General features: G+C 50.6%; 1 protein-coding gene across 2 annotated transcripts in view, besides 1 other annotated feature; it reads right to left on the bottom strand.

Moving 5' to 3' along the window:
* The window catches only part of SYT12 (synaptotagmin 12), a 44,093-nt gene extending 30,875 nt beyond the window's left edge, over positions 1–13,218 (bottom strand). Inside the window, exons 1-3 of one of the 2 annotated variants that reach the window (XM_011545346.4) lie at positions 12,534–13,218; positions 9,867–10,110; positions 8,995–9,166 (exon numbers count right to left, since the gene is read on the bottom strand). In XM_011545346.4, coding sequence (XP_011543648.1) covers positions 8,995–9,031 — 37 coding nt within the window. In that variant the 5' untranslated portion in view covers positions 9,032–9,166; positions 9,867–10,110; positions 12,534–13,218. The remainder of the gene's footprint in view (positions 1–8,994; positions 9,167–9,866; positions 10,111–12,533) is intronic. The other variant, XM_006718737.5, reaches the window with a different exon arrangement.
* Positions 17,128–17,787: an enhancer, noted in NCBI's record as "OCT4-NANOG-H3K27ac-H3K4me1 hESC enhancer chr11:66769673-66770332 (GRCh37/hg19 assembly coordinates)". NCBI's record gives its function as "activates a minimal SCP1, AML or CMV promoter by ChIP-STARR-seq in naive H9 embryonic stem cells {active_cell/tissue: H9 hESC(naive)}" and the evidence as "EXISTENCE:reporter gene assay evidence [ECO:0000049][PMID:30033119]".

Raw genomic sequence — 19,650 nt, 5'->3', positions numbered from 1 at the left:
GAGACTAGAAAGAAAAGGCGCCCAAGGCCACACAGCTGGGCCCCAAGACTAGTGCTCCAGCAAGCGGCTCGCCACTTTTTTTTTTTTTTTTTGAGACAGGGTCTCACTCTTTCACCCAGGCTGGAGTGCAGTGGCACAAAGACGGCTTACTGCAGCCTTGACCACCCAGGCTCAGGTGATCCTCCCACCTCAGCCTCCTGAGTAGCTGGGTTACAGGCTCACGCCACCACGCATGGCTAATTTTTTGTATTTTTGTAGAGACAGGGTTTTGCCACGTTGCCCAGGTTGGTCATGAACTCCTGGGCTCAAGTGATTCCCCCCTCCTCGGCCTCCCAAAGTGTTGGTGATATGGTTTGGCTGTGTCCTCACCCAAATCTCATCTTGGATTGTAGTTCCCATAATTCCCACGTGTTGTAGGAGGGACCCAGTGGGAGATAATTGAATCGTGGGGGGCGGTTTCCCCCGTACTGTTCTCGTGGTAGTAAGTCTCATGAGATCTGATTTTTTTTTTTTTTTGAGGTGGAGTTTCGCTCTTGTTGCCCAGGCTGGAGTGCAATGGCACGATCTTGGCTCACTGCAACCTCCGCCTCCCAGGTTCAAGCGATTCTCCTGCCTGAATCTCCTGAGTAGCTGGGATTACAGGCATGCGCCAACACGCCCGGCTAATTTTGTATTTTTAGTAGAGATGGGGTTTCTCCATGTTGATCAGGCTGGTCTCGAGCTTCCGACCTCAGGTGATCTACCCACCTCAGCCTCCCAAAGTGCTGGGATTACAGGCATGAGTCACCACGCCCAGCGATCTGATGGTATTATAAGGGGAAACCCCTTTCGCTTGGCTCTCATTTTCTCTCGTCTGCCACCATGTAAGATGTGCTTTTCGCCTTCTGCCATGATTGTGAAGCCTCCCCAGTCATGAGGAACTGTGAGTCCTTTAAACCTCTCTTTCTTTATAAATTGCCCAGTCTTGGGTATGTCTTTATCAGCAGCATGAAAATCGATGAATACAGTTGGAACAGTAGGCGTTGAGCCACTGCACTTGGCCTCAGTTCTCCGCTTTCCAGGCCCCGGCTCAGCTCATGAGGCACCAGCCACTTGTCTGCCCTGTGCACCCCACAGGCCCAACTCTTTCACTTTTGCACTTTTGTTTTCTTTTTCTTTTTTTTTTTGAGACGGAGTCTCGCTCTGTCGCCCAGGCTGGAGTGCAGCGGCGCCATCTCAGCTCACTGCAAGCTCCGCCTCCCAGGTTAATGCCATTCTCCTGCCTCAGCCTCCTGAGTAGCTGGTACTACAGGTGCTCACCACCATGCCCGACTAATATTTTTGTATTTTTAGTAGAGACAGGGTTTCACCATGTTAGCCAGGATGGTCTTGATCTCTTGACCTCATGATCCGCCTGCCTCGGCCTCCCAAAGTGCTGGGATTACAGGCTTGAGCCACCGCGCCCGGCCTCTTTTTCTTTTTTAAGAGACAGAATCTTGCTCTGTCACCCAGGCTGAAATGTGGTGGTAAGATCATGGCTCATTGCAGACTTGAATTACAGGGCTCAAGCCACCCTTCCACCTCAGCCTCCTAAAGAGCTGGGACTACAGGCACATGTCACCATGCCCAGCTATTTTTTTTTTCTTTTTCTTTTTTGGTACTGCTCCTTGTGGAGCAGGGCTACCCCACAGGCAGTGTACCCAGAGTAGCCAGCCCAGTTATTTAAAAAAAAAAATTTTTTTTTTTGAGACAGAGTTTCGCTCTTGTCCCCCAGGCTGGAGTGCAGTGGCACGATCTCAGCTCACTGCAACCTCTGCCTCCCAAATTCAAGAGATTCTCCTGCCTCAGTCTCCCAAGTAGTTGGGATTACAGGCACATGCCACCACGCCTGGCTAATTTTTGTATTTTTTAGTAGAGACGGGGTTTCACCATGTTGGCCAGGCTGGTCTCGAACTTCTGACCTTAAGTGATCCACCTGCCTCGGCCTCCCAAAGCATTGGGATTACATGTGTGAGCCACCGCGCCCGGCCTTTAAAATTTTTTTTCTTTGATATGTAGCCTCACTCTTGTCCTCCAGGCTGGAGTGCAATGGTGTGATCTCAGCTTACTGCAACCTCCGCCTCCTGGGTTCAAGTGATTCTCCTGTCTCAGCCTCCTGAGTAGCTGGGATTACAAGCGCCTGCCAACACACCCAGCTAATTTTTGTATTTTTAGTAGAGACGGGGTTTCACCATGTTGGCCAGGCTGGTCTCGAACTCCTGACCTCAGGTGATCCACCCGTCTTGGCCTCCCAAAGTGCTGGGATTACAGGTGTCAGCCACTGCGCCTGGCCTTTAAAATTTTTTGTTGTGGCTGGGCGAGGTGGCTCACTCCTGTAATACCAGCACTCTGGGAGGCTGAGGCAGGCAGATCACAAGGTCAGGAGTTCGAGACCAGCCTGGCCAACAATGGGGAAACCCCATCTCTACTGAAAATATGAAAAATTAGCCGGGCGTGGTGGCAGGCATCTGTAATCCCAGCTACTCAGGAGGCTGAGACAGAAGAATCACTTGAACCCAGGAGGTGGAGGTTGCAGTGAGCCTAGTTCGCACTACTGCACTCCAGCCTGGGCGACAGAGCAAGACTCCGTCTCAAAAAAAAAAAAAAAAATTGTAGAAATGGGGTCTCCCTATGTTACCCGGGCTGGTCTTGAACTCCCGGGCTCAAATGATCTTTCTGCCTCCGCCTCCCAAAGTATATGGATTACAGGTGTGAGCCACCATACCCGGCCTCAACTCTTTCACTTTTAGAGAGGCTCAGCCTAATGCTATGGGGTCAGGAAGACATGAACTTGAATTACCATTCTGGACCAATGGCTTTCCTTCCTTGAGCTAAATGCCTTTCATCTGTAAAATGGGGATGAAGCTGTTCTCACTCATGAGGTTGGAGGACGATTAAAGGAGCTCATGCCTGGTATAGAGCAAGTCATCAGCAAATGAGAGCTGCAGCTATGACCCTCCTCACATCTTTTCTTTGAAATAACAATAATTACAGAATTTACGTAATATTTGACATTGTGCAAAGTGCTTTCTTATTTACGACCTCATGTAATCCTCAACAGCGCTGGTGCTGTTGAGGCAGATGATCCCACTTTATGAGACAACTGAGGCTGGCCACAGAGAACTTTCCTGAGCTCCCAGGCAGAGCTGAAGGTTCCTCTGGGGCAGTGCTGGCTTCTAGGGGGAAGTGTGAAGAGCTGAGGGCCTCTTGGGAATGGCTGCATGGGCACGAGCATAGCTCCCAGACACCCTCAGCTGAGACCCACAGTTCCAGAGCTGGGTCTTGCAGCACCGCATCCCATCATGCCAACTTCTTCTAGGCTCACAGAATAGGGCATACGGTTTCAGAACAAGACCACCTTGGAAAGCTTTTGGGAAACTCTTTTTTTGGATAATATACACTACTTTCAGGCTCTGTTTTAGCATATTTAAAGAAACACCAGTCTAGCATGTAAACTGGCCGAGAAGTGATTTACATCTTTCTGAAGCCTCTCTAGAAAATGCCAAAGAAGTGCATTCATAACCCCTGGCAAGAATCCTTTCTTCCCATAGTCTCTTACCCATGTCTGCTGCTCCCCAAATTTCTCTCTGCCCCAGCTCCAAGCTCCTTCCCAGGCCCTCAGTTCACGCCTTCTCAGCAGCCCACTTCCCTCCCGCAACATCTTTTATTTATTTATTTATTTTCTTAATGAGACAGAAATCTCACTCTGTCGCCCAGGCTGGAGTGCAGCGGTGCGATCTCGGCTCACTGCAACCTTCATCTCCTGGGTTCAAGCTATTCTCATGCCTCAGCCTCCCAAGTAGCTGGGATTACAGGTGTGTGCCACCACTCCCGGCTAATTTTTGTATTCTTAGTAAAGATGGGGTTTCACCATGTTGGTCAGGCTGGTCTCGAACTCCTGACCTCAGGTGATCTGCCCACCCCAGCCTCCCGAAGTGCTGGAATTACAGGCATGAGCCACCATGCCTGGCCCTCCCATCATCTTTTCGTGTATGATATTTTTCTCTAGCATGAGCCCACTGGCCTTCCCAGTGTGACCTGGCCAGGCCTCTGGCTTCTCAAACCCCCTTCCTCCTGCTCCCAGCCTCCTGAGATCCAGAGTCCTCCTTCCCAGCAAGGGAGGAGGGAGAGGCTGTGGACCCTCCTGCACTCACATGGCTTCTGGCTATGAACGTGAAGGAGCTTTACGAAGATCCCAGCGTTTACCATATGAAGGGATTTTAGCAGTGAAAGCCACAACAGCTGGGAAGTGTCACACATGTCCCAAACCCTCTCCATATTCATTACCTCCTTGACGCCATGAAGGCGATGCTGTTTCTAACTCTTATTGCTAAGGAGGAATCCACGTCCAGGACAGCGAAAATCCCTGGGCCTGGCCATGTGCAGCCCACCAGTCCTGGCTCCAAGTCCTGAGCGCTTTTCTCTCCCGAGGAGAGAAAGCCCTTCCCTTTCCCTTCCCTTTGTTCCCAGCTGGGACTCCCATCATGCCACAACCCCCCACCACCGCCTCCACACCAGGGTAAAGATGTGGCCCCTGGAAGCAGCTGTCCATAGCACAGATCATTGGAGAGCAGCCTGTGGGGTGCAGAGAGGATGCTGAGGAGCTGGGCCTGCATTGGAGGCCAGCACTCATGGGGCCAGGCTGAGGCCAGCAGGGGTGGCAGGGACTTGCTCTCCCAGCATTGGCCTTGGCCGCCCTGCCCTCCTGTTGCGACCCCCTGCCCAGGGACTACTGGTCTCTACTTCCACAAGACACCTGCGCTGCCTTTCCACCTGTCACCGGGATCCCCTTGGTTGGGGGAAGCTTAAGAAGGAGCCGCGGCTCTGGATGCAAGGCAGGGATCTCCCATTGTTGTGGGAAAGTAAGGGGCCAGAGAGACCGAATTGGGTGAAGGAGTTTATTTAAGGTGCACACCGGCTCAGCGGACTTGCATCTAGAAAGTTTGGCACTAGACAAAGAAAGCAGCTGTCTTTTAAGTAGTTTGTGGCGGGAGCTACGTGATGCAGGAATATTTTACTGTGAAAAATAATTTTTTTTTTTTTACTTCATTCCAGCCACCCTGCATATACCCAAGGCAGCCTGACTGCCACCAGCCTCCAGGGAGCGTCGAGAGTGGTAGTAAGGAGGCCACGAGGATCCCTGCTGCCCTGGAGGGCAGGACAGGGAACCTGGCCAGGTTTGTGGGCCACGGACAGCCAGCCAGGGCACCTAGGCCCCTCTGGGTTCTCAGACCCCCATGCCATGCCTCAAGGCTGCCTCCAAATCAGTCAAAACAGCCTTGGGGCCTGCCTGCTACCCCCACCTCCACCCCAGTCCTACCTCCACTGTGATCCCTCAGCCCCTTATTGTCCAGTCTGGGTCTCACCCACAAGGCCCCAAGCTCCCAGTTGCTGGGTCCCCTGCCTGGCTCACAGACCGGCCTCAGTGCCTGGCAGAGGGCAGCCCGGCAGGAGCCGCTTCTCCAACCCTCTCCAGAGAAGCTGGTGCTGGGTGCGTCAGGGAAGCCAGCCCTTGGATCTGTGGGTCCTCGCCTGTTCCCCGCCCTCATACTCAGCTACCCCAGGCATCTGCTCTGGGCGTGCTGCTTGGATTCACAGTCATCAAACTCATTAACAAGATCTTCACTCCTTCCAATGAGCACTTTCCATGGGATGTGGAGGTGAAGGGACACCCTCCCTGATCCCGGACACATCTACACACATCTAGGCTGATGGGATGGTTGCAGCAAGTTGACTTGTGACCCCCCAAAAAGATACATCTGAGTCCTAACACCTAGCACTTGCGAATGTCATCTTTTTTGAAAATAGGGTCTTTGCAGATGTAATTAAGTGAAGGATCTCAAGCTGTAATCACTTTAGATTTACAGTGGGTCCTACATGCGATGGGTGGTGTCCTTATAAGAAAGAAAACAGGGACATCTCAGCCATGAAGGCACAGAGAGAAGAAGGCCACGTGGAGACGGAGGCAGGGGCTGGAGTTATGAAACCCTCAGCCAAGGAATATCAAGGGTTGCTGGCAGCCCCCGGAAGCTGGGAAAGAGGCCTGGGATGGATTCTCCCGGAGAGCGTCTGGAGGGAACCAGCCCTGCCAACACCTTGATTCTGGGCTCTGGCCTCCAGAACTATGAGAGAATTAATTTCTGGTTTTGTAAGCTGCCAAATTTGCAGTAATGTGTCATGGCAGCCCCAGGAAAGGAACGCAGACGGCATTAGCCCCAGCCTGTGCTAAGGGCGCTGAGCAGACTGCAGCTGAGTGGAGGGCAGGGAGGCCCTGCGCCGGGGGCCACACTTGACAGGGGCCTGTAACCTCCTGAGAAGACACACAGACAGGGGAGGATCCATTCAGTAACAAGGTAACTGGCTGGTGGGATCCTGGCCCAGGGAGGGGGCTTGTGGGCCAGGAGCCTCGAAGGGTGAATGGGATGGGCTCAAGGACTAAAGGCCTTGACTGTCAGGGTTGGGGCTGGGACAAAGAGGAGAGAGGCAGGAGCCCTGGCTGAAGACGAGAAAGGCCCAGACGCTCACTCAGTTCCTGGAAGGGCTGCAGGGAGAAAGGGGAGAAGGTGCAACCCTGCCAGGCCCTGAGCACCAGCGCCCTGAGGACCAGCACCCTGAGGAAGCTGCAGGGAGGCAGGTATCAGCTCGGCAGACACAAGAGCTTGCATGGCCAGGGCCCCCACAGTGAAAATGACCCCGAGTTGGGGCAAGCTCCCCATCAAGGGAGATATGTAAATAAAAGTGCCTGGTAGGGATCCTAGCCCCAACTAAGTTATGTTATGGGTGGTCCCTGAAGACCCCTTTGCAACCTGAGACACTACATATTGCCTGGCTGAGCTGCTCCTCCCCACTCTGCGTGTCAATTACACTGAATTGATCCGGCTCAAGCCACTTATACCCACTTTCCTTCCGGACTCTGGGGCCTGCACCTGTGAGGACAGGGACTCACTCCTGGAGATCTGGAACTCAGGAATGACGGGCAGATTCCCAACCTCCTCCCAAAGGAAAGGATGACCCCCCCCAGGTTTCAAAAGCCTTCTCTCTTCACAGTCCCCTCCATTTGAAGGAAGAAACACAACAGCCCCCTTTCAGTGTGTGGTTACTTCATGCTAAATCTCTGACACAGCACGTGTGGTTAAGAACACTAAAGTCACTGTGTGACCTTGGATTAGTTTCTTACCTTCTCTGTGCCTCAGTTTCCTCAACTGCAAAATGTAGTTAATAACCGTGCCAACCTCCTAGATGAGTGAGACGCTGAAATGAGACCCTGAAATGTGACAGCTCTTAGCATTTTAAGGTGGACACAGAACCAGCCCCAGTGCTGACTTCAAGGTTCTTTTGCCTCGTTTCCCTGCTGATATTTATAAGCACTTACATTTTAAGAAGGATGCTGGTCTGAGGGCCAATGAATGAGACAGACCCTACCCTCTTGGACTCATAATCTGATGGAAGAGGCCAACTCGTAGCCAAGAAGTGACAAGGCAGTGTGATGTGGCAGCACAAAGGTGGGATAGCTCAGTCAGTCTGAGGTGGGAGAGCTTCAGAGAGGGTTTCTTGGAGGAGGTGACTTTTATTTATTTATTATTATTTTTAAAAATTTTTTGAGATGGAGCCTCGCTCTATCACCCAGGCTGGAGTGCAGTGGTGCAATCTCAGCTCACTGCAACCTCCGCCTCCCGGGTTCAAGCGATTCTCCTGCCTCAGCCTCCCCAGTAGCTGGGATTACAGGCACACACCACCACGCCTGGCTAATTTTTGTATTTTTAGTAGAGACAGGGTTTCGCCATGTTGGCCAGGCTGGTCTCGAATTCCTGACCTCAGGTGATCCGCCCGCCTCGGCCTCCCAAAGTGCTGGGCTTACAGGTGTGAGCCACCATGCCTGGCTGGAGGCGACTTTTCAACCAAGACCTGGCCCGGGCGCAGTGGCTCACGCCTGTAATCCCAGCACTTTGGGAGGCCGAGGTGGGTGGATCACAAGGTCAGGAGTTTGAGACCAGTCTGGCTAACATGGTGAAACCCTGTCTCTACTAAAAATAAAAAATTAGCCGGACGTGGTGGTGGGCGCCATTAATCCCACCTACTCGGGAGGCTGAGATGGGAGAATTGCTTGAACCCGGGAGGCAGAGGTTGCAGTGAGCCGAGATTGTGCCACTGCACTCCAGCCTGGGCGACAGAGCAAGACTCTGTCTCAAAAAAACAAAACAAAAACCAAACAACAAACAAAAAACAAAACCAAGACCTGAAGGATGATCAGGCATCAGCCAGGCAAGGTGGGTGGGAAAAGACAGTCCAAGCAGAGGAAACTGGGCAGATACCAAGAGCCTCTGTGGAAGCGTTTTCATAGCCTACTGCCTCAGACCCAGTGTGGAAAGAGCCGGCAATGCCTGCCATCTGGGGACAATGATTGGCTTCCAAATAAGAAAAGAAAATCAGGCCGGGCACAGTGGCTCACGCCTGTAATCCAGCACTTTGGGAGGCCCAGGCGGGCGGATCACCTGAGGTCAGGAGTTCGAGATCAGCCTGACCAACATGGTGAGACCTCATCTCTACTAAAAATACAAAAATTAGCTGGATATGGTGGCACGCGCCTGTAATCCCAGCTGCTCAAGAGGCTGAGGTAGGAGAATTGCTTGAACCCAGGAGGTGGAGATTGCAGTGAGCCAAGATCGTGCCATTGCATTCCAACCTGGGTGACAAGACCAAAAGTCCGTCTCAAAACAAAAAAGAAAAGAAAGTCAAAGTTAATATACATACACTTTATTATTTCATTTCATTTTGTTAGAGATGGGGATCTCATTATGTTGCCCAGGCTGGATTCAAACTCTTGAGCTCAGATGACCCTCCCCCTCAGCCTCCCAAGAAGCTGGGGCTACAGGTAGGTTCTACTGCACCTAGCTAAAGTTAATATTGACCGTGCACAAATACGTTGTCAACTAGAATACTGCACCTGAATATAGTGTGATAAAGAATTCTACTTACTGTGAAATATGATGTTTGTTTGTGTGTTATGTGACATATTTGTGTGGCGTGCTGTGGGTTGAGGCCTTTAGGAGAAAGAAGACCCAGGCCCTAGGCAAAGTCTTAAACGGCTCTGACCCCAAAATTCTTTCTCCACTTTCCCAGGTCTGGAATTCCTTTGGTTCAACTTGTTCTAGGAGTCAAGACAAAAAAAGGTGTGGGCACCATCAGCGACAGACGCCTGTTCACACAGGACAACCAGAAGAACCACAGGAACGCATCTCCTGACCCCTCCCCAGGCTCTGAGCCACAGCTGGAAGCTGCCCTTTCCCAGGCTGCCTAGGGACAGGTCCCAGGGCCTCACTGGCATAAGCAGGATGTAGGGCAGCCACAGAAGGCATTTGGAGGTGGTGGCAGGTGTCACCAGCAGGGTACTGGGCAGCCAGTTAAGATGGAGCTGGAACAGGCCTGGCAAGATGAAGGGGCATGAGCTCAGGGTTGGGCACAGAGCCCAGGGAGGGGTGGGGGGACCCGAGGGTTACTGGGGCTTGGCTACATCATGTTGTCCACTGTCTGGACACTACCCCTGTCTTGGCTGCAATCTCTCCTGCCCAGCCCTTGGGGCCCAGCATGTTAGAGCTGGAGCCTGGACCTGGGCAAGGTGGCTCGCTCCAGAAGTCACACTGTCACCACCCGGCTCACCATGAGGGAGTCTGGGAGAGAAATGGCACAGATGTTGCTGTGGGGCAGAGTGGATGAGTGGAGATGCTGCTTCAGGGTAATCCCTAGGACTCAGTTCTGTCTTTTTCTAGCCTGGGAGGGACAAAACCTTTTCTCTACATGTCTCCGTAAAGCCAGAAATCAAAGGTCAGATGGTTTCAGTGTTTTCTCACCTGTCACTTCAGCTTCTTGTCCGGCTGTCACTGTCCACGGGCCATACACTTTAAGCTTCTGCCACCACCATGCCCTACTCACTGTTTCTCAAACACACCAAGCCCTTTCTTGCCTCCATGCTTTTACTCGATGCAGTTCCTTTTGCCTGGAATGCCTTCTATTTGCTTCTTTCCAGAGGATGTAAACTCTTCATCCTTTCAAACTCTCTCCCATGGAGCTGAGATCGCGCCACTGCACTCCAGCCTGGGCGACAGAGCGAGACTCCGTCTCAAAACAAACAAACAAACAAAAAAAACTCTCCCATGAAGACTTCCATAAATGCTCCAGCAAGCCACTCACTCCCCTTTCCCACAATAGCTGGACTCTCCTTCTAACACATTTATAGTGTCTGTCCTGGAATTATTTGTTCCTGTGTCTGTTCCTACTAGATGCTGGGAACTTGAAGCAGACATGAGGTGTCTTATTCATCTCTTTAGCCTTCAGGCCCAGCATATAGCAGGTGTTTTGTCAGTATTTAAATCAAGGGCTGGGGCTGGGCACAATGGCTCCCGCTTATAATCCCAGCACTTTCGGAGGCTGTGGTGGGTGGATCACTTTAGGCCAGGAGTTCGAGACCAGCCTGGCCAACATGGTGAAACCCAGTCTCTACTAAAAATACAAAAGTTAGCCAGGTGTGGGGGCACATACCTGTAGTCCTAGCTACTTGGGAGGCTGAGGCATGAGAATTGCTTGAGCCTGGGAGGTACAGGTTGCAGAGCCAAGATCGAGCCACTGCCCTCAAGCCTTTTTCAAAAAAAAGAAAAAAAATCAATCAAGGTCGGGGCACAGTGGCTCACGCCTGTAACCCCAGCACTTCAGGAGGCCAAGGCATGGGGATCACTTAAGCGCAGGAGTTCAGGACCAGCCTAGACAACAAAGTGAGACCCCATCTTTACAAAAAATACAAAAATTAGCTAGGCGTGGTAGCACATGCCTGCGGTCTCAGCTACTCGGGAGGCTGAGGTAGAGGATCGCTTGGGCCTGGGAGGGCGAGGTTGCAGGGAGCCAAGATGCACTGTACTCTAGCCTGGGCGACAGAGCCAGACCTTGTCTCAAAACAACAACAAAAGCCCCAAGAACCCACATGCATGAAGTCCTTATATACCTGGCACCATTCTCAGTGCATTACACATATTGGCTCATTCAATCCTCCCAGGACTCTCTATCACCAAGGTTCCTTTATCAGCCCACAGGTTACACATTCGGAACCTGAGGTACAGAGAGGTTAAGAAATGTAGCCAGGCTGGGTGCAGTGGCTCACGCCTGTACTCCCAGCACTTTGAGAGGCTGAGGCAGGCAGATCACATGAGGTCAGGAGTTCATGACCAACATGGTTGAAACCCCGTCTCTACAAAAATACAAAAATTAGCCAGGCATGATGCCGCATGCCTGTAATTCCAGCTACTCAGGAGGCTGAGGTGGGAGAATCACTTGAACCCAGGCGGTGGAGGTTGCAGTGAGCCGAGCTCATGCCATTGCACTCTAGCCTGGGCAACAGGGTGAGACTCTGTCTCAAAAAGAAAAAAAAAGAGAGATGTAGCCATCTCACACCTGTAGTCCTAGATACTCTGGAGGCCAAGGTGGGAGGATCACTTGAGCACCAGAGGTTGAGGCTGCAAAGAGCTATGATCACGACACTGCACTTAGCCTGGGCAACAGAGCAAGAACTTGTCTCTAAAAAAAAAGAAGAAATGTAGCCAAGAATAAACACCAGCAGGTGACAGAGGTGGGATTCAAACCAATAGTAACAAGTAATAGTAAAGAGTTGATGAATAAGCAGTGAATAAAAGAACTGAAAGGAGGAAAAATCAGATTAAGAAGGGCTTCCTGGCCGGGTGTGATGGCTCAAGCCTGTAATCTCAGCACTTTGGGATGCTGAGGCAGGCGGATCACGTGAGTTCAGGAGTTCAAGACCAGGCTGGCAAACATGGCAAAACCCTGTCTCTACTAAAAATACAAAAATTAGCTGGGCGTGGTGGCACGCGCCTCTAGTCCCAGCTACTCGGGAGGCTGAGGCAGGAGAACCGCTTGAACCCGGGAGGCGGAGGTTGCACTGAGCCGAGATCAGGCCATTGCACTCCAGCCTGGGTGACAGAGCGAGACTCTGTCTTAAAAAAAAAAAAAAAAGTTAGGGCTTCCTCAGGATCAGGAAGGAAGTGCTCCTTGTCAAAAATGAAAAGGAAAAAACCCTCTTTCCAAATCCACTTTTTAAAAAATAGGCCCGGGTGCAGTGGCTCACACCTGTAATCCCAGCACTTCGGGAGGCCAAGGAGGGTGGATCACCTGAGTTCAGGAGTTCAAGTCCAGGCTGGCCAATGTAGGGAAACCCCGTCTCTACTAAAAATACAAAATTAGCTGGGCATGGTGGCACATGCCTGTAAGCCCAGCTACTCTGGAGGCTGAGGCAGGAGAATCGCTTGAACCCGGGAGGCGGAGGTTGCAGTGAGCCGAGGCCGCCCTGTTGCACTCCAGCCCGGGCAACAACAGTGAAACTCTGTCTCAAAATAAACAAATAAATAAATAAATAAATAAGAAAAGAAATATACGAATTCCTCCTCCCCACCCACTCCCTTTTATTATTGCCTCCCACTCAGGAACTGAGAACTCCGCAGATAAAAATAGCAAACCTGAAGGAGTTTGAAGGAAGTGTTCAGTGGAGCACCCCACACAGCTGTGACCCCTGGGTCCTTCAGAACCTGAGAGGGAGGCCCCTGGGTAAGGCTGGGGACAGGCCATGGTGCAGTCCCTGGGAAGGCCCTTCGCCCACGAGCCCGACGCAGGGCATGAGAGTTCCTCAGTCTCAGGCTCCCCTTAGGGATGAGTGTCTTCTGGGCTTCCCGTACCAGCCCCTCTGGGCCAGGAGATCTGGAGCCCTGCTGTGGTTCCTTCGGCCTCCTACTCACTGGGTAGCCTACCCTGCCTCTCCATCACCCCAGGTCTTGGCCTCAACTTGCCTCCCAGGTGTTCAGGCGCCCTTAACCCCATCAGGAAGTCCACTCCCTCACCATGCGGCCCACTCCCGTAACTTGCTCATCCTTCAGGACCTGACTCATTTTCCCTTCGTCGGCTAAGCCTTCCCAACCACTAGCAAGTAACAGAAAACCGCTCAAGCTGGCTGAAGCAACAGAGGTGGCTTTAACAAAAAGATAAAGCATTGCAAGGCACCTCAAGGCAGCAGCGCTGCCAAATGTCCATAAAGGACAGGATCAGGGTTGGAGAGACCATTATGAGCCCAAGTGCCCTTCAGCTTCCTTTTTCCTTCTCTGCCAGCCACAGCTCCCCCAATTAACATTTTCTAGAACTTCAACCTGAGCCAGTGTCAGGAGAGAGCTCTGATTGGCTAACTTGGGTCAGGTGATCAGCCCTCCTCCAACCCACAGTGACCGAGAGAGGGGGTCACGTGATACATACGAACATGGCTGCCGAAGCCTTCCCTTGACAAGGGGTAGAGTGAGGGATAGTGACAGCTAAGAATGCATCTCTGATGGCTGCTCATTCTTCACTTCGCTTTTCCTGTCTCTGCTTGTGTTCTGCTTGCTGTTTGAACTGGTTATATGCGTGCCTACCTCTGTGCATGAGCACATATGAGGACTCCAGCCTGCATTAAACACGGACCCCTGACCTCTGTATCTAGTTCAAGGCCTCCATCCTGAACCTCTCTTTAGGATTGGCTTCACAGGTGTAAAACCTGAGCTTGCACACAGGGCCCAGTACATGGTTAATGCTCTGCTGTTGCTGTCTTAAAATTCTCTCTCTCTCTCTCTTTTTTTTTTTTTTTTTTTTTTTTTTTTTTTGTCGAGACAGGGTCTAGCTCTGTTGCTCTAGGCTAGAGTTGAGTGGCGCAATCACCGCCCATGGTGTTACCGGATATGGGTCCTAGTCCAGACCCCAAGAGAACGTTCTTGGATCTTGCACAAGAAAGAATTTGGGACGAGTCTATAAAGTGAAAGCAAGTTTATTAAGAAAGTAAAGCAACAAAAGCATGACTACTTCATATGCAGAGCAGCCCCAAGGGCTGCTGGTTGCCCATTTTTACGGTCCTTTTTTTTTTTTTTTTTTTTGAGAAGGAGTCCCACTATGTCATCCAGGCTAGAATGCAGTGTCACGATCTCGGCTCACCGCAACCTCCGCCTCCCGGGTTCAAGCAATTCTCCTGTCTCAGCCTCCTGCGTAGCTGGATTACAGGTGTGCACCACCATACCTGGCTAATTTTTTGTATTTTCAGTAGCAACAGGGTTTCACCATGTTGGCCAGGCTGGTCTCGAGCTCCTGATCTCAAGTGATCTGGCTGCCTCGGCCTCCCAAAGTGCTGAGATTACAGGCATGAGATTAGTTCTTGATTATATGCTAAACAAGAGGTGGATTACTCATGCCTCCCCTTTTTAGACCACATAGGGTAACTTCCTGGCATTGCCATGGCATTTGTAAACTGTCACGGCGCTGATGGGAATGTAGCAGTGAGGACGACCAGAGGCCGCTCTCATCGCCATCTTGGTTTTGGTGGGTTTTTGCCGACTTCTTTACTGCAACCTGTTTTATCAACAAGGTCTTTATGACCCGTATCTCGTTCCGACCTCCTGTCTCATCCTGTGACTAAGAATGCCTTAACCTCCTGCGAATGCAGCCCAGTAAGTCTCAGCCTTATTTTACCAAGCCCCTACTCAAGATGGAGTTGCTCTGGTTCAAACACCTCTGACAATTGCAGTCTCAACCTTCTGGGTTCAAGGGATCCTCCTGCCTCAGCCTCCTGAGTAGCTGGGACAACAGGTGCGTGTCACCACACCCAGCTAATTAAAAAATTTTTTGTAGAGATGAGATCTCACTGTGTTACTCAGGCTGGTCTCAAACTCCTGGGCTCAAGCGATCCTCCTGCCTCAGCCTCCCAAAGTGCCTTGAAATTCTCAATAATTTTTGAACAGGGAGTCCAGCGTTTTCATTTGGCACGAGGCCCTGCAAATTATATACCTGGTCCTGCCTTTCTCCTTGAGCCATCTTGAGTCATTATTCCCAACCTGACAATATTAGTCTGCTGGGGCTGCCATAACAAAACAGCGTGGACTGGATGGCTTACACAGCAAAAATCTATTTTCTCACAGCTCTGGAGACTGGAAATCTAAGATCAAGATGCCATCAGGGTTGGTTTCTGCCCTCTTCCTAGCTTGTAGAGGGCTGCCCTCCCCTATGTCCTCACCTGGCCTTTTTCTCTTTGCCTCGTGGAGCCTCTTCCTTTTTTTTTTCTTTTCTTTTCTTTTCTTTCTTTCTTTTCTTTTTTTTTTTTTTTTGAGACAGAGTCTTGCTCTGTTGCCAGGCTGGAGTGCAGTGGTGCGATCTCGGCTCACTGCAACCTCCGCCTCCCTGGTTCAAGTGATTCTCCTGCCTCAGCTTCTCGAGTAGCTGGGATTACAGGCACGAGCCACCACGCCCAGCTAATTTTTGTATTTTTAGTAGAAACGGGGTTTCACCATGTTGGCCAGGATGATCTCGATCTCCTGACCTTGTGATCCACCCGCCTCGGCCTCCCATAGTGCTGGGATTACAGGCGTGAGCCACCGCGCCCGGCCGCCTCTTCCTCTTATAAGGACACCAGTCTTGTTGGATTAGAGCCCCACTCTTATGACCTTGTTTAACCTTAATTACCTCTGAAAAGCCTTATTTCCAAAAATAGTCACATTGGGGTAGAGCTTTAACGTGGATTTTGGGGGACACATGAAGTCCTAACACCGACCTTGCACCCTATGCCTCGCCCGGTGCCCATGCCTTGGATCTCCCTGGTGGCACTGCCCTTTGGGGTTGACCTCTGGTTACCTTGCTTTGGACACTTGCCTGCCCTACCCAGTCTATCATGGACCTTGTTTGACACAGCATTTTAGGGCCAGCCTGGAGGAGGATGGGGCTACACACTGTACTCCACTGGACAGGGAGATCTCATGCCCTCCAGAACTTTGTCATCTGCCTCGATAGTGCTTTCCCCATCTGCCTAACTCATACTCAACTCGGCTGAGACCCCTCTTCATCTCACATGCCATTTCTACCCACTGCCCGTTGCCCCCATGGCTGGGTTCAGAGTCCTTTATATATGCCTTTATCTTAACCAATTAGAGCTCCTACCATCCCCTATCACAATGGCCAACCTTGTGCCTGTTGGAACCACTAGTCCATTTTTGATGTCAGGGGCATTCAGTAACATTATTTATTTATTTATTCGTTTATTTATTTTGAGACAGTCTTGCTCTGTCATTCAGACTGGAGTGCAGTGGCGTGATCTCAGCTCACTGCAACCTCTGCCTCCCGAATTCAAGCAGTTCTGTGCCTTGGCTCCCGGAGTAGCTGGGATTACAGGCACCTGCCACCACTCCTGGCTAATTATTTTTGCATTTTTAGTAGACAGGGTTTCGCCATGTTGGTCAGGCTGGTCTCGAACTCCTGACTTCAGGTGATCTGTCCACTTTGGCCTCCCAAAGTGCTGGGATTACAGGTGTGAGCCACCGAACAAGGCCAGTAACATTTTTAAATTACAGAAGTAATACACTTATATCCTCACTGTGCCAAAAATCAAACAAATGGCTGTAGTTTAAGATCCTAAAGATAAGAATTGGTATGAAAAACGTAACCTTTTCTAACTCTCTAATAACCAAACTCATCTCACCAGCCTGACCTACACAGAGACTTTTTGTAGTCTTTGAGAAAATTTTTCCCATATTTTTGGCCTTGACTAACAGTGGGAAATCCAGTGCACTTTGAAACCAGCACAACATTTAATCAATAATCATGTAGCAAAAGTTTCATAAAGTAATACTCTGTTACTTGATTTGATTCTATTGTATTTTGTCAACCCACTGAATTTCATGAAACCAGTTTTTCTCCCTGCCCCTTATCCTCTTGTGCCAGGGCAGAGCCAAGCACCGCAGGTTTAAGTTGGTCCTAACATTAGGAAGGGGGCACCTAGTCCCCACACCTTTCTCTGTCCTTCCCCTGAGGGCCTCTTGCCTCTCAGCTCCTGGACATTGGCCTTTGTCCCTGCTGGCCAGGGTCTGACGAGACCTCTGTTAACAGGTAGGCAGGCCACATGAGGGCGGGCAGCGGCCTCCCTTCCTGGTGCCAGGTCCTCTAGTCCTGCAACCCTCTCCCATCCTTATGAGGCTCGAGAAACATTTAGAAGCCCTTCCGTCTCCATGGGATACAAGGGTGGTGGCAGGGGTCCCCCTGCAGTTTCCTGAGGCCTGAGGACCCAGACTCAGCCTCCTGACCTTTCTGGTTTTATTTTTTTATTTCTGGTTTTTCGGGCATGGCTAAGTTATTCTCCCAGGGGCTTGAAGGCACTCAGCACTCCCGGGGGCAGGGCCCGGGGAGGTGAGCATGGAGAGAATGTCGGGTTGGGGCAAGGCCTCAGGCTACCTCAGAAACAGGAAAATGTGCCTACCTGCCCCCAGCTTCTTCTATTCCTATGTGGCTGCTGTACACCTTTGGCTGTGAGCCTGTAGCTCTTTTCTCAACAAACCTCTTCTCCCTCAACAGCCCAGCCATGAAAGGCTCCTACATGGGAGGCTTGTTCTCAAGGCCATTGTTCCTGCTGTGGGCTTTGAAAAAGTCTAATTTGAAAAGCATAGCTTAGCAACGACTTCTTTGTTCCCCTGCATCCGCCCTCCCAGGAGGTAGTGCTGGGAGAGCTGGTCCAGTGGCCAGTGTCTCTGTGCTGCGGGTGGGGCAGCTGCAGGGAAGAGAGGAATGAAAGGAAAAACACAAAAAAACCCCACAGAATCAAAATAATACTCGTTCATGCAGATCCGTCAAAGTCTTATCCACTCCCCCATCCTCCCGCTTTGCCCTGGAAAGGTAAGATGCTTATCAGGTTGCTGGGCTGTGGAGACCTTTCAGGTGTTGTTTATGTATTTGCATATATGTAAGCATATGCACACGGATTTGTGTGGGTACGTGTGTGTGAGTACGTGTGTGTGTGTGTGTGTGTGTGTGTGTGTGTGTGTGAGAGTGTATATAGTTGGTGGTCGTGGTTTTTATTTTTATTTTTGTGAGACAGGGCCTCACTCCATCACCCTGGTTGGAGTGCAGTGGCGTGATGATAGCTCACTGTAGCCTCGAACTCCTGTGTTCAAAGGATCCTCCCTCCTTAGCCTCCCAAGTAGCTGGGACTACAGGCATGTGCCACCATGCTCGGCTAATTTTTTTTTCTTTTTTGTAGAGACAGTGTCTTGCTATGTTGCCCAGGCTGGTCTCAACCTTCCAGGCTCAAGAGATCCTTCTGCCTCGGGCTTCCAAGTAGCTGCGACTACAGGTGTGTACCACCATGTCCAGCTAATTAAAAAAAATTTTTTTTTTTGGTAGAGATGGGTGTCTCACCATATTGCCCAGGCTAGTTTTGAACTCCTGGACTCAAGGGGTCCTCCCACCTTGGCCTCCCAAAGTGTTGAGATTACAGGCCTCAGCCACTGCACCCAGCCTGTTGTTGTTTAAAGCAGCTTACTTGGGTTCAAATCCTCACTCTGCTATTTATTAAGTGTGCAATCTTGAAAAAGTTACTTAACCCCTCTCTGCCTCAGTTTTTCTCATCTGTAAAATGGGGATAATAATAGTAATTAACTCACAGAGTTGTGAAAATTACATTTTGAGAGAGGCTGGCACATGAGTGCTGCACAGTGTTAACGGGGATCATTGCTCTATTTGCACTGTAAACGCGCCTCAGGCTTTTTCGTCATTCGCAGAGTATTTCATTGTGTATGTGCATCCTAGTCTCCTATTGATGGACTAAGGTTGTTTCTGATTTTTGTTATTACAAATAATGCAGCAAGGAACACACTGGGTATGTGCATTTTTATCTTAAAAGTCATAGGCTGGGCGTGATGGCTCATGCCTGTAATCCCAGCACTTTGGGAGGCTGAGGCAGGTGGATCACGAGGTCAGGAGAGCGAGACCAGCCTGGTCAACACAGTGAAACCCCGTCTGTATTAAAAATACGAAAATTAGCCAGGCATGGTGCAGATCAGGTCAAACCCAAAGCTGAGCAATGATTTCTTTGGTCCCCTTGTTGCTTGGTGGCACACTCCTATAGTCCCAGCTACTTCAGAGGCTGAAGCATGAGAATTGCTTGAACCAGGGAGGCAGAGGTTGCAGTGAGCCAAGATCGTGCCACTGCACTCCAGCCTGGGCAACAGAGCAAGACTCTGTCTCACAAAAAAAGAAAAAAAAGAAAAAAGAAAAAGAAAAGAAAACTTATAGCCAAATTGCCTCCTCCAAAGGTGGTACCATTTTATCTGCCTACACCACTCATTTCCCCATGCCCTCTTCAACACGGGACGTCATCAATTTTCTCTAACTTTTACCAATCTCATTGGGAGAAATGATGGTTTATTGTTGTTTTCATTTGCATTCTTTGATGACAGGGTGGTCAGGCATCTCTTCATGTGCGTATTGACCTGTTTGTCTCCTCCTCTGTGAACTTGCCATTTCCTTCCTTTGCCCATTTTCCTGCTGGATTGTTTTCTACTGGGTTAAAAAAAAAATTATAGGCCGGGCGCAGTGGCTCACGCTTGTAATCCCAGCACTTTGGGAGGCCGAGGTGGGTGGATCATGACTTAAGAGATTGAGACCATCCTGGCCAACATGGTGAAACCCCGTCCCTACTAACAATACAAAATTTAGCTGGGCGTGGTGGCGGGTGTCTGTAATCCCAGTTACTCAGAAGGCTGAGGCAGGAGAATCGCTTGAACCCAGGAGGCGGAGGTTGCAGTG

Source organism: Homo sapiens, chromosome 11, assembly GCF_000001405.40.
Source record: "Homo sapiens chromosome 11, GRCh38.p14 Primary Assembly".
Lineage (NCBI taxonomy): Eukaryota > Metazoa > Chordata > Mammalia > Primates > Hominidae > Homo > Homo sapiens.
The sequence above is the reverse complement of the archived record's forward strand: the minus strand, read 5'-3'. Positions and strand labels throughout refer to the sequence as shown.